We start from the raw sequence: 14,304 nt of genomic DNA on the forward strand, positions 1-14,304 counted from the left end.
GCCAGATCCTGTCTCTAAAACAAAAAAAAAAAAAAGAAAAAAGAAAAAAACTTTATTTCTTTCTATGGATGAGTAATATTCCATTATGTGAATATACCACATTCTGTTTACCCATTCATCTGTTGAGGAACATTTGGGTTGTTTCCACTTTTTGTCTATTATTAATAATGCTGTCGTGAACATTCATGTACAGGCTTTTGTGTGGTATTAATGCCAAGTGACAGCCAAGCAACGCCTTCATTCCACCATGGTGGAATGAAGAAAACAAAAGGAAAATAGTGGGAGACTTCAGTCATAGCTCAGCAAATGGTGGTGCAGGGTGCTCAATGTAAAGGAGTTTGCCCTGTACCTGACTGCACAATGTTCATGTTTCCAGTAATTTTATTTCATTCATATATCACTTGTCACATTAAGTTAATGATGTTAGGGCACATGAGACTGTATTAAATTATATTTACTATTTCTTGAATATATTTTTCAGTCAGTTATGTAAAGCAAATTTACATACTCTTTTTCCTCCCCTGAAAAAAATAAATTAATAATTTTAATTTTTTAAACTTTTGTAGTTTTTTGGAATTTGATTTATAAATAAATGCGATTTGATATCGCTATATGGAAGTTACAAATATAGGAACACAGATTTAGGCCGGGCGAGGTGGCTCACACCTGTAATCCCAGCACTTTGTGAGGCTAAAGTGGGCAGATCACTTGAGCTCAGGGGTTTGGGACCAGCCTAGGCAACATGGCAAACCCCCATCTCTACAAAAAAAAAAAAAGATAGCCGGGTGTGGGGGTGCACGCCTATAGTCCCAGCTACTTGGGAAGCTGAGGCGGGAGGATGGGTTGAGCCCTGGAGGTAGAGGCTGCAACGAGCCGAGATCACACCACTGTACTCCAGCCTGGGTGACAAAAGTGAGGCCCTGTCTCAAAAAAAAAAAAGAAAAAAGGTACATCTATTTATACTTCTGTGGTAATTTATATTACTTAAATAATATCATAAAAACAATTTCCAAATAACATGGGAAAAAAGAAATTCATGAAAGGTTTCCCTCTTTCAATGGTATTTTTCTTCAAGTTGAAGAATCACTGAGGATAGAAGTCCAGCTATTTATAAGAAAAACCTTTCAGGATGGCTAAATTTGGTTGGGGTAGCAGGGAGGGAGGATTTCAGGGTTAGGGAAAAATCCTCAATCAATATTTAAGCACGATATCAACATAGTTCACTTAGATATCAAAGATAAGATTTTTCCAGTAAAAGAGAGAAAAAGAAATTGTTCATTGCTAATTGCTACAGGACAATTTGTTCCCTACCAGACAAGGTCTATACAAAGACCGAAGAAGTTTTATTCACTTCTTGGCTTAGCCGGCCAGAGATCACTGCACACCATCTGGTCACAGCAGATGCTGAAAGCAGAAGCTAAGCGGCAAATTATGAGGCCTCCAGGACTAGATCTTCTGAACCTCTCCCCACCCGCCTTTCATCACACACAGTTCCCCTTTCTAGCTCCCTGAGGCAGGATTTGCAACTCTGCATTTTCATTCTGTGTAAGTGCCCATCCTATCATTTGCAAAACTCCCGTTTTACCCTAACAACCTCACCCACACAGGGCATCTTCCCACTTTGGTCGCAGTAACGTTCCTGCCCCTCCCAGCCAGTTGGTGCTGTTGGGAGCTCAAGCTTTTTTTTTTTTTTTTAAACAAAAACAAACAAACAAAAAACTCTACTCCTGTGACAGATTAAGGAATTTTAATCTTTGTCACAAATAGGTGAAGAGAAACAAACAGTAAAGTTGCTAACCAGCCTGGGCAACATGGTGAAACCCCTTCTCTACAAAAAATACAAAAATTAGCTGGGCATGGTGACTTGAGTCTGTAGTCCCAGCTACTCTGGAGGCTGAGGTGGGAGGATCCCTTGAGCCCAGGAAGTCCAGGCTGCAGTGAAAGGAGACTGTGCCACTGCACTCCAGCCTGGGCATCAGAGAGAGACCCTGCCTCAAAAAAATAAAAATAAAATAAAATAAGTTGGTAAGCTGTCCCTGTCCATTATCTCAGTACTCAGGTTGCAGACTTTGCAGACTGTGAAGGAGAAATCCCAATTTATCAGAAATCAAAAACTCACTCAGCGGCTGGGCATGGTCGCTTACGCCTGTAATCCCAGCACTTTGGGAGGCCAAGGTCGGCAGATCACTTGAAGCCAAGAGTTCGAGACCAGCCTGGCCAACATGGTGAAACCCCCATCTCTACTAAAAATACAAAAATTAGCCGGGCGTGGTGGCGTGCACCTGTGGTCCCAGCTACTAGGGAGGCTGAGGCAGGAGAATCACTTGAACCCTGGAGGCGGAGGTTGCAGTGAGCCGAAATCGCACCACTGCACTCCAGCCTGGACGACAGAGCCAGACTCTGTCTCAAAAAAAACAGAAAAAGAAAAAAAAATACAAAAATTAGCCAGGCATAGTGGCGTGTGCCTGTAGTCCCAGCTGAGGCTGGGAGGCTGAGGCACGAGAATCACTTGAACCCAGTAGGCAGAGGCTGCAGTGAGCTGAGATCATACCACTGCACTCCAGCCTGGGTGACTGAGCAAGACTCTGACTCAAAAATGAAATAAAATAGGCCAGGCGCGGTGGCTCACGCCTGTAATCTCAGCACTTTGGGAGGCCGAGGTGGGCGGATCACCTGAGGTCGGGAGTTCGAGACCAGCCTGACCCACATGGAGAACCCCATCACTACTAAAAATACAAAATTAGCCGGGCTTGGTGGCACATGCCTATAATCCCAGCTACTTGGGAAGGCTGAGGCAGGAGAATCGCTTGAACCTGGGAGGTGGAGGTTGCGGTGAGCCGAGATCACGCCATTGCACTCTAGCCTGGGCAATAAGAGCAAAACTGTGTCTCAAAAAAAAAAATTAAATTAAATAAATACAAAAATTAGCCGGGCGTGGTGGTGCACGCCTGTATTCCCATCTACTTGGGAGGCTGAGGCAGGAGAATTGCTTGAACCTGGGAGGCAGAGGTTGCAGTGAGCCAAGATCGTGCCACTGCACTGCAGCCTGGGCAACAGAGTGAGACCCTGTCTCAACAAACAAATATTAGTGTCACTAAAGTTAATATACAATCCCCTACTGGTAAATTTAACTGGCTTAAAAAAATTTTTTAACAGTAATTCAAAAAAAATTTTTTTTGAGACAGGATCTGGCTCTGTCACCCAGGCTAGAATGCAGTAGTGTGACCGTAGCTCATTGCAGCCTCAACCTCCCAGGGTCAAGTGATCCTCCCACCTCAGTCTCCCAAGTAGTTGGGACTAGAGGCTCACTCCACCACACCTGGCTAAATTTTTTTATTTTGTAGAGACAGGGTCTCACTATGGTTTTGAACTCCTGGGCTCAAGGATCCTCCCTCCTTAGTCTCCCAAATTTCTGGGATTACAGGCATGAGTGAGCCACTGTGCCTGGCAACATTTTTTTTTAAAGCATGTTACAAGAGAGACCTAAGAGAGACTGAGGAGTCTTAGGAGATGTCATTTAAGCCTAGTCTCCAGAAGATGAGTTAGCTGAATGGAGAGAAAAAAGAGATCTGCTCAGAGTCCATAGCATGTGCGAAGGTTCTGAAGCAAGTAAGAGTTTGTTGTGTTCAAGGAACTGAAAAAAGCCCAGTGTGATGAGAATGTGACAGACAAGGGGGAAAGTGAGGGGAGATGAAACCAGCCACCAAGAATCTTGGATCTTATTTGGAGCAAGGTGGCCAGACATTGAAAGGGTTTCAGGACAAGCATGACACCATTTACTCTTTAAAAAACCGAGACAGTGGCCAGGGGTGGTGGCTCACACCTGTAACCCCAGCATTTTGGGAGATTAAGCGGGGAGGATCCTTGAGCCTAGGAGTTCAAGATCAGCCTGGGAAACATAGGGAGACTCCATCTCTACAAAAAATACAAAAATTAGCCAGGTGTGGTGATGTGCCTGTAGTCCTAGCTACTCAAGAGGCTAAGGTGAGAGGATTGCTTGAGCCTGAGAGGTTGAGGATGCTGTGAGCTGTAATCAATCCACCGCACTCTAGCCAGGGTGATAGAGTAAGCCCCTGTCAAAAAAAAAAAAGCGAAGCAGTTAAGAGGTTATTGTATTTGTCTGAGTAGGAGATGGAGTTGACCTGGCCTAGGTCAATAGAGAGAGGTAGATGGAATTGAGATTTATTTTAGAGAAAAAAATACACAAGTCTCAATGAAGAGCTGGATGTGGAGTCAAGGCTGATTCCTGTGTCTTTGGCACAAGCAGCTGGTAGCTGGTTGTTCCCATTTACTGAGATGGAAAAGACTGGGTGGGAAGAAAGTAGCTTTAGGGGTACATCAGGGGTCTGTTTTGGATGCATTAACTCTGAAATGTTAGACTATATAGATATATACAGATTTGGAACTCAAAGAAGAGGCCTGGATGGATGGATATAAACTTGGGAGTTATCAGCATATAGATATTTACAGACATGGAAGTGCGTAAAATAGCTGAGGGGACGGTAAAGAGGAAGAGGTGCCAAAATGGAGCCTTGAGGATGTCTGATATATATATTTATAATATATATTTATATATACATATATATATATATTTTTTTTTTCGAGACAGTCTTGATCTGTCATCCAGGCTGGAGTGCAGTGGTGCGATCTTGGCTCACTGCAACCTCTACCTCCTGGGTTCAAGCAATTCTCGTACCTCAGCCTCCCGAGTAGCTGGGATTACAGGTACATGCCACCACGCCCAGCTAATTTTTGTATTCTTAGTGGAGATGGGTTTCACCATGTTGGCCAGGCTGGTCGTCTTGAACCTTTTTTTTTTTTCTTTTTTTTTTTGAGATGGAGTCTCGCTTTGTCACCCAGGCTGGAATGCAGTGGTGCCATCTCGGCTCACTGCAACCTCAGCCTCCCAGGTTCAAGCAATTCTCCTGCCTCAGCCTCCTGAGTAGCCGGGATTACAGACGCGCACCATGACGCCCGGCTAATTTTTGTATTTTTAGTAGAGACAGGGTTTCACCATGTTGGTCAGGGTGGTCTCAAACTCCTGACCTCGTGATCTGCCCGCTTTGGCCTCACAAAGTGGTGGGATTACAGGCATGAGCCACCGCGCCCGGCCCAGACTTCCGACATTTAAAGACCACAAGGGAAGAAACTTACAAAGGAGGTTGAGAAGAGGCAGTCAGAGAAACGGAAGGGAAACTAAGAGGGAGTATTACAAAAGCAAGAGAAGAGTGTTTAAGAATGATCTATTCGGCCGGGTGCGGTGGCTCACGCCGTAATCCCAGCACTTTGGGAGGCTGAGGAGGGCAGATCACAAGCTCAGGAGATCGAGACCATCCTGGTTAACACGGTGAAACCCCGTCTCTACTAAAAATAGAAAAAATTAGCCGGGTGTGTTGGTGGGCGCCTGTAGTCCCAGCTACACGGGAGGCTGAGGCAGGAGAATGGCGTGAGCCCGAGAGTCGGAGCTTGCAGTGAGCCGAGATCACACCACTGCACTCTAGCCTGGGCGACAGAGCGAGACTCCGTCTCAAAAAAAAAAAAAAAAAAAAAAAAAAAAAAAAAAAAAAGAATGATCTATTCAATGATCTTGAAAGTTCCTGTAAGAGGAGGACAGAAGGAGGAAGTTGATAAATGTGGTGACATTGGGAAAGTCCTCTGACAGCATTCTCATTGTCACGCTCCACGGCAGTGGTTCAGGAGTGAACACCCACAAAAGACATTGGTCTAGGGGGAGGGATTCAGGCAGGAATCAAGGGTACAGATGACAATCTATGTTGCCAGGCACGGCCTGTAGTTCTCTGACTACAGAGTAGCCTTCTCTGAAGGTGCATTTTTTTTTTTTTTGTGATAGAGTCTCGCTCTGTCGTCCAGGCTGGAGTGCAGTGGTGCGATATTAGCTCATTGCAACCTCTGCCCGATTCTCCTGTCTCAGCCTCCCGAGTAGCTGGGATTACAGGCACATGCCACCACACCCGGCTAATTTTTGCATTTTTAGTAGAGACAGGGTTTCACCATGTTGGCCAGGCTGGTCTCAAACTCCTGACCTCAGGAGATCTGCCCGCCTCGGCCTCCCAAAGTGCTGGGATTACAGGCGTGAGCCACCGTGCCTGGCCTGAAGGTGCACTTTTGAGTGAGATATGATGACAAAATTTTGGCTCATATTGTTGACAAAAATTTGCCTAATATTGTTTTCAACTGTGGAGAGACCCCAATCACCCTGAAGTTTTTTATTTTTTTGAGACAGAGTCTTGCTCTTGTCGCCCAGGCTGGAGTGTAAAGGCGCGATCTCGGCTCACTGCAACCTCTGCCTCCTGGATTCAAGCAATTCTCCCACCTCAGCCTCCTGAGTAGCTGGGATTACAGGCATGCACCACCACGCCCGGCTAAAGTAGAAATGGGGTTTAGTAGGAATGGGGTTTCACTATGTTGGCCAGGCCGGTCTTGAACTTCTGACCTCAGGCGATCTGCCCACTCGGCCTCCCAAAGTGCTGGGATTATAGGCATGAGCCACCGCGTCTGGCCCACTCTGAAGTTTTAAAATGCCTCTACTCTTTTTTTTTTTCTTCTTGAGACGAAGTCTTGCTCTGTTGCCTAGGCTGGAATGCAATGGCGCGATCTTGGCTCACTGTAACTGCGGCCTCCCAGGTTCAAGCAATTCTCCTGCCTCAGCCTCCCACGTAGCTGAGACTACAGGTATGTGCCACCATCCCTGGCTAATATTTGTATTTTTTAGTGGAGACAGGGTTTCACCACACTGGCCAGGCTTGTCTTGAACTCCTGACCTCAGGTGATCCACCTGCCTCGGCCTCCCAAAGTGCTGGGATTTTAGGCGAGAACCACTGTGCTCAGCCAAAATGCCTCTACTTTTATATTTTTATTATTTTCCTTTGTTGTCTTAACTCTAACTCACTAGTTGTGTAACTAATGTAAGTTATTTAACCTCTTTGTGCCTCAGTTTCCTCATCTGCAAAATAGGAATAAGAGTAGGACCAATGTGAAGATTAAATATGCATGTAAAATGCTCAGAACGGTAAGTGGTATATGTTGGTTATTATTATTATTTTGTTAATGTACTTTTTCCCTGCTTCCCCTCATACTGGCTATTATTATTAGTCAGAAGCTAAGGTTTGTGTTGTTGACTTCTTTCCTTCTCTCTTAAAGTTCAAAAATGATTATTTCTCTTGTATCTTAAGAAAGAAAGAAAATGGATTTGAAAATTAGATTGGCCACTTACTATCTGTGTGAGGTTACTTACCTCTTTGTGCCTCAATTTCCTCTTCTGTAGAATGAGAATAATAGTAGTATACTGCTTTATAGGGTCATTGCGAGGATTAAGTGAGTTACTAAGCATAAAGCAGTTGGTACAGTGACTAGCACATAGTAAGGGCTAACTGTTAGTTACGTTGTTCTCTGCAGCAAATCATTTCTCCCAATATTGTTACTAACTTTAAAATGCTGAATGTGGAGCATCGATAGTGGCAGGAGGCAGACAAATGCCTAGGCAGACAGGGGCAGGTCCCTGGTGAAACCCAACCTTCAAACCAAAGACAGTTTTAAAGCCTGAAAGTCAAGCTACGAGTCCTGGGTAAATCCATGGACTGGATTGAGAGCCTCTCTTCCTGTTTGGTATGCTTTCCTCTGATTGATTCCCACCCTTCACCTATTTTACATATACTTACCTTCCCTAATTGGTTTTTTACACTGTCATGCCCACCTTTGAGTGGTGCCTTTGTTTTAGCCTTTTTGCATACTCACAAACCTATCAGCACACACTCCCCGTTCTGAGCCCATAAAAGCCCTGCAACCAGCCATACTGGGAGGGAGACCATCTGACTTTGGGTGGGGGATCACCCTGTCATCTCCTCTCCACTAAGAGCTGTTCTGTCACTCAATAAAATTCTTCTCCACCCTCCTCACACTTCCACTGTCAGCATAACCTCATTCTTCCTGGATGCAGGACAAGAACTCAGGGATTGCCAAATGTGGATACGAGCTGCAACACAGGCGGGTTGGGGCATGCCCAGCATAGCTGTGGGATGAGCGCGGATCCTGCAGCCAGCACAGGATCTGGGCCAGTGTGCAAGCCAGGTGTGGCCCAGCTGGCCAAGTGGACGGGGCAACTCCTGTGGCAGGCCTGGGGCCAACAGGCCCAGGTGGGGATGACACTGGCCATGGAGGTCCCTGGCTGGCAAAGTGACCAAGAAAAATCCTGCATCACTGTCATCTCAGCACTTTGAGAGGCCAAGGTGGGAGGATCACTTGAGCCCAGGAGGTCGAGGCTGCAGTGAGCCATGTTGGGACCACTACATTCTAGCTTGGGTAACAGAACAAGACCCTATCTCAAAAAAAAAAAAAAAAAAGTTCAATTTAATAAAATCAGGACTAATAACTGTGTAGAACTTTTTTCATGATAATTATGGCTACAATTCACTTGTAATTAATTGTAAGGAGATGATAAGCAAAAACATGATGAATCGGCATCTAAGTACTGAAGGAAGTCAGACAATCATCTCCAAAACAACTTCTGGTGCTACTGTCAGAATAATTTATTTTTAAGCACATTGGTGAACATCATCTCTATTTCATAAAACAATCATACAAAATTTTTATTTTTATTTTTTTTTTTTTTGAGACAGGGTCTCGCTCTGTCACCCAGGCTGGACTGCAGTGGTGTGATCATGGCTCGCTGCAGCCTCAACCTTCCACACTCGAGCCATCTTCCCACCTTGGCCAAGTAGCTAGGATTATAGGCACACACCACCACGCCTGGCTAATTTTTGTATTTTTTGAAGGTCCCACTGTGTTGCCCAGGCTGGTCTTGAACTCTTGGGCTCAAGCAATCCTCTTGCCTTGACCTCCCAAAGTGCTAGGATTACAGGCATAAGCCACCACACCCAGCCCAAAATTTTCATAGATGGCAAAAATTTAATAAGAGTTGTTTGGTTTTTAAAAATTAACGAATAAGTTAAATTTATTCTGTCACCTCCTTAATTTCACAGAGTGAAATTAAATTCACTCTGTCACCCAGGCTGGAGTACAGTGGCATGATCTTGGCTCACTGCCTCCTCCACCTCCCGAGCTCAGGTGATCCTCCCACCTCGGCCTCCTGAGTAGCTGGGACTACAGGTGCACACCACCACACTCAGCATGTATTTCTATTTTTAGTAGAGACAGGCTTTTACCATGTTGCCCAGGCTGGTCTCGAACTCCTGGGCTCAAGTGATCCGCTGGCCTCAGCCTCCCAAAGTGCTAGGATTACAGGTGTGAGCCATTGGGCCCAGCCAAGAGTTGTTTTAGCAGGCAAAAAAGAAGAAAAAGGAGGAAGAAAACAAAGAAGATGGAAAAGAAGGAAAAGGACGGGGAGGGAAGGGAAGGAGAGGGGAAAGGAGAAGGGGAGGGAGAGGAAAAGAAAAAGGTTTGTTAGAGTGTAACCTTCAGTACGAATCATTTCCTTAAGTCTTCTGTGACCTTGTCAGGGGTTCCTTCTCCTGCATTCTGGCCAATGTGTTCTGCCAAATGCCCTGTCTTCAACCAGAACTAACAACAGTACTAGTTAGGTTTTGTGGATGAACATGGATTTTGGATGAAGACAGGCTTATATTTAATCCTGGCACTGCCATTACTAGCTGGTGACCATGGGCAAATTACTTTCACTTTGTGAATCTGTCTCTTCTTTTTTAATATAGAGATAATATGATACAGTATTGACCTCACAGGAAGGTTAGCATTATGAATAAATGTAGGGGAAGAATCTAGCACAGTGCCTGATGCATGATTAATGGTCCATAAACGTAGTGCCCTTATTCCTCACCCTTTGACTCCCTATCCCTTTTTCTATCCTGTTAAATAAGTAAGATTTCCTTACTTTTCCTTGAAATTAGAAGAAAATCTCTTTGCATCTACTTAGGTGCCACATTGACTCCTCCCAAATCCAGAGGTGCCCCTTAAACTGAAAGCACCCCTAGTTCAAGGCAACAAACAAGAGTTGAAGAGGCACCTAAGCCCAAATTCTCAGGTCGGAGTTCTCCAAACACGGGATCCTTAAGCAGCTGCCTTTCATCCCCCTTGGTTCATGAAGATGTACAGAGGGGCCCTGTCACTGGCAGCATAATTGCTTGAACCCAGGAAGTGGAGGTTGCTGTGAGCCGAGATCGTGCCACTGCACTCCAGCCTGGGTGACAGAATGAGACCTCAATCTCTGTCTAAAAAAAAAAAAAGCCTGGGCGTGGTGGCTCACTCCTGTAATCCCAGCACTTTGGATGCTGAGGTGAGCAGATCACGAGGTCAGGAGTTCGAGACCAGCCTGACCAACATGGTGAAACCCCGTCTCTACTAAAAATATAAAAATTAGCTGGGCGTGGTGGCGTGCGCCTGTAATCCCAGCTACTCAGGAGGCTGAGGCAGGAGAATCACTTGAACCTGGCAGGCGGAGGATGCAGTGAGCTGAGATTGCGCCACTGCACTGTAGCCTGAGTGACAGAGCAATACTCCATCTCAAAAAAAAAAGATATGTTTGGTCATTAATGTGCTGTCTGCTTGCACACTAAAGATGAATGAGATGAATCATGAGATATAAATTGCCCTGGTTAAATAAGCCTACATCCACTATTGTTGAAGATAGACAGGTGCACAAACAACATCAAGATGTTCTTAGAGTTGCAATAGGAGTATTCCTACATGCTACAATAGCCCAGAGGAAAATGCAATTCATTCTGTCTGTTTTGTGTTGCAGCAAAAAGTTTATTTTGCCTATGTGCGGTCCTGATTCCTGGTTATGTGTCTATGAAGCATTCAGACTCACTTAAAGTGGAGGACTAGGGGCCAGGTTTTTAAGTCAGGCAGGGTAGGGGTACAGGGAGCAGAGAAAGGAGTGTAATCAAACACCATGCAGAAGTGCAGGGTATGCTTAGAGTATAGAGGGCAGAGCAAAGAAAGACGAGGCAGAAAGACTAGCTGGGGTGGGATATAGACAGGCTTGAGCACCTCCACCTCACAGAATTTGGACTAAAATTGGGGCAAAAAATATTTTTGTTAAACAAAAGAGATTTTATTTTATTTTTATCATTATTTTGAAACAGGTTCTTGCTCTGTCACCCAGGGTGGAGTGCAGTAGCACAAGGTGCATCCCGGGATCAAGCCTTCCTCCTGTCTCAGCCTCCCCAGTAGCTGAGACTGATACAGGAGGTAGAAAGAAATTATTTAGGCAGATAGTGAGGGCAAATGAGTCCTCAGCAGAGCTTCCTTTCTAACAAAAAGCAGCCCAAGAAATTAGTTTTCTCCTAACAAAAAGTAGCCTGAAAAATCTAGCTGCAAACATAGGTAAGCAAGCTGGAACATTGCACAGGGGAATGCTGGCAGCTGTGTCAATAGAAAAGGGGTACCTGGGGGCCAGGCATGTCCATCATGGAAGCTTCATCTTCCTTTTTGTTAGCACGTGTACAGTAAGAAAGAAGTGGGCAACATGGCACAGCTTAGGCTGAAAACCCGCCTGCATAATAAAATACTGGGGTGGGGGCTGCCAGAAAATCGTGCCCCATGCAAATGGCACACCTGGTCCTAACCAGCTTTTTGTGCCCTACGTAGATCAGACACAACTTTCCAACCAGCTCATCTATAAAACCTTCTGCATTTCACCGTGGGTCGACAACCCATTTTTCTGGGACCCCTCTCTGTAGCAGAGAGCTATTTTCTTTCTTTTGCCTATTAAACTTCCTGCTGTTAACCTCACTCTTTGTGTGTCCATGTCCTTGATCTCTGTGGCTGTGAGACAATGAACCTCAGGTTTTACCCCAGACAATGAGGCTGCTTCAAGACTACAGGTGCATGCCACCAAAGCCAGCTAATTTTAAAATATTTTTTAAAGACAGAATGTGAACCCAAAATATTTGAGATAGGTCTCAATCTATTTAGAAAGTTTAGTTTGCCAAGCTTAAGCATGCACCCATGATACAGCCACATCAGAAGGTCCTGATTACATGTGCCCAAGGTGGTCAGGGTACAGCTTACTTTTATTCATTTGAGGGAGACATGAGACATCAATCAATATGTGTAATATGTACATTAATTCGGTCCCAAAAGATGGGACAATTCAAAGTGGGGAGTGGTGTGGGGAGGCTTTTACGTCATAGGTAGATAAGATACAAAAGGCTGCATTCTTTTGAGTCCTTGATCAGCGTTTCACTGAATACACAATTTAGTCTGGCTCAGTGAATCTGCATTTTTACATAAACAATAGGGGAGGCCGGACACAGTGGCTCACGCCTGAAATCCCAGCACTTTGGAGGCCAAGGCGAGCAGATCTCCTGAGGTCAGGAGTTCGAGACCAGCCTGGCCAACAGGATGATACCCCATCTCTAGTAAAATATAAAAATCAGCTGGGCATAGTGGCGGGCACCTGTAATCCCAGCTACTCGGGAGGCTGAGGCAGGAGAATCACTTGAACCCAGGGGGCGGAGGTTGCAGTGAGCTGAGATCACGCCATTGCACTCCAGTCTGGGCAACAAGAGCGAAACTCTCTCTCAAAAAAAAACAAAAACAAACAAAACAAAACAAAACAATAGGGCAGAGGAAGCAATCAGATATGCATTTGTCTCAGGTAAGCAGAGGGATGACTTTCTGTCCTGCATCTGTGAAGATCATCTATCAATTTACATTGCCAGGATGAAATTCAACAGAACTGTTTTCAGGTAAAGATCTTGAGACCCACAAGGAATTTCCTTGTGGGCAAATTGTGAGGAAGATATGCAGCTTTCTTTTTTTTTTTTTTTTTTAATCTTTGTAGCTATCTTATTGGGGAATAAATTGGAAGGCAGGTTTGCCTGACATAGTTCCCAGCTTGACTTTCCCCTCAGTTTAGTGATTTTAGAGTCTGAAATTAATTTTCCTTTCACAGGGTGTCACTATGTTGCCCAGGCTGGTCTCAAACTCCTGGGCTGAAGTGATCCTCCCACCTTGGCCTCCCGAAGTGCTGGGATTACAGGTGTGAGCCACCATGCCCAGCCCATTTCATTATTATTATTATTATTATTATTATTATTATTTTATTTATTTTTATTTTTGGGACAGAATCTCGTTCTGTTGTCAGACTGGAGTGCAGTGGCATGATCTCGGCTCACTACAGCCTCTGCCTCCTGGGTTTAAGCGATTCTTCTGCCTCAGCCTCCTGAGTAGCTGGGACTACAGGCATGTGCCACCATGCCCAGATAATTTTTGTATTTTTAGTAGACATAGGGTTTCACCATGTTGGCCAGGATTGTCTCGATCTCTTGACCTCATGATCCGCCCGCCTCTGCCTCCTAAAGTGCTGGGATTACAGGCGTGAGCCCCTGTGCCCGGCCGAGACAGAATCTCTGTCACCCACACTGGAGTGCAGTAATCCAATCATAGCTCACTGCTGCCTCAACCTCCGGGGTCAAGTGATCCTTCCATCTCAGCCTCCCGAATAGCTGGGACCACAGGTGTGCACCACAACGCCTGGCTAAGTTTTTTATTTTTTTGTAGAGATGGGGTCTCACGATGTTGCCCAGGCTGGTCTTGAACTCCTGGGCTCAAGCAATTCTCCCACCTCAGCCTCTCAAAGCACTGGGATTACAGGCATGAGCCACCCTGTTAGACTATTTAGCCTGTTAGACTATTTAGCCTAGTCTAAATAAATGATATTTTAAGAGAGTGGGAGCGTAGAAGCAGGTCCTTTTGTGAAGCATATTAAAAATATATAATAATGTTCACACATGGGTTTCGTAACTCCCCAGTGGGCTCATCTTGCCTGCTGCCTAGATACAGCCCATTTATCAAGACACAGGAATTATAATACAGAGAGCGTTTAATACACAGAGAGCTGGCTAAACCGAAGACTGGAATTTTTTTTTTTTTTTTTGAGACAGAGTCTTGCTCTGTCACCCAGGCTGAAGCGCAGTGGCTCACTGTGACCTCCCGCCTCCCGGGTTCAAGCAATTCTCCTGTCTCAGCCTCCTGAGTAGTTGGGATTACAGGTGCATGCCACCATGCCTGGCTAATTTTTTTTTTTTTTTTTTTTTTTTTGTATTTTTAGTAGAGACGGGGTTTCACCATGTTGGCCGGGCTGGTATCAAACTCCTGACCTTGTGATCCACCCACCTCGGCCTCCCAAAGTGCTGGGATTACAGGCATGAGCCACCGCGCCAGGCCAGAGTTTTATTATTACTCAAATCAGCCTCCCAGAAAGTTTGGGTGTTTCAAGGATAGTTTTGTCCATGCCCAGGAATGACCAAGGGAAGTTTGGAAGTTAAAGGCAAGATGAAGTTGGTTAGATCAGATCATTAATGA

General features: G+C 45.1%; 6 annotated features.

The window, feature by feature from the left end:
• Nucleotides 1,249-1,388: an enhancer, noted in NCBI's record as "active region_16046". NCBI's record gives its function as "activates an Ori minimal core promoter by ATAC-STARR-seq in GM12878 lymphoblastoid cells {active_cell/tissue: GM12878}" and the evidence as "EXISTENCE:reporter gene assay evidence [ECO:0000049][PMID:35858748]".
• Nucleotides 1,399-1,528: an enhancer, noted in NCBI's record as "active region_16047". NCBI's record gives its function as "activates an Ori minimal core promoter by ATAC-STARR-seq in GM12878 lymphoblastoid cells {active_cell/tissue: GM12878}" and the evidence as "EXISTENCE:reporter gene assay evidence [ECO:0000049][PMID:35858748]".
• Nucleotides 7,262-7,935: an enhancer, noted in NCBI's record as "OCT4-NANOG-H3K27ac-H3K4me1 hESC enhancer chr2:74414816-74415489 (GRCh37/hg19 assembly coordinates)". NCBI's record gives its function as "activates a minimal SCP1, AML or CMV promoter by ChIP-STARR-seq in naive H9 embryonic stem cells {active_cell/tissue: H9 hESC(naive)}" and the evidence as "EXISTENCE:reporter gene assay evidence [ECO:0000049][PMID:30033119]".
• Nucleotides 7,936-8,608: an enhancer, noted in NCBI's record as "OCT4-NANOG-H3K27ac-H3K4me1 hESC enhancer chr2:74415490-74416162 (GRCh37/hg19 assembly coordinates)". NCBI's record gives its function as "activates a minimal SCP1, AML or CMV promoter by ChIP-STARR-seq in naive H9 embryonic stem cells {active_cell/tissue: H9 hESC(naive)}" and the evidence as "EXISTENCE:reporter gene assay evidence [ECO:0000049][PMID:30033119]".
• Nucleotides 11,686-12,412: an enhancer, noted in NCBI's record as "NANOG-H3K27ac hESC enhancer chr2:74419240-74419966 (GRCh37/hg19 assembly coordinates)". NCBI's record gives its function as "activates a minimal SCP1, AML or CMV promoter by ChIP-STARR-seq in primed H9 embryonic stem cells {active_cell/tissue: H9 hESC(primed)}" and the evidence as "EXISTENCE:reporter gene assay evidence [ECO:0000049][PMID:30033119]".
• Nucleotides 12,413-13,140: an enhancer, noted in NCBI's record as "H3K27ac-H3K4me1 hESC enhancer chr2:74419967-74420694 (GRCh37/hg19 assembly coordinates)". NCBI's record gives its function as "activates a minimal SCP1, AML or CMV promoter by ChIP-STARR-seq in primed H9 embryonic stem cells {active_cell/tissue: H9 hESC(primed)}" and the evidence as "EXISTENCE:reporter gene assay evidence [ECO:0000049][PMID:30033119]".

The sequence above is a fragment of the Homo sapiens genome, chromosome 2 (genome assembly GCF_000001405.40).
Source record: "Homo sapiens chromosome 2, GRCh38.p14 Primary Assembly".
Taxonomy (NCBI): domain Eukaryota; kingdom Metazoa; phylum Chordata; class Mammalia; order Primates; family Hominidae; genus Homo; species Homo sapiens.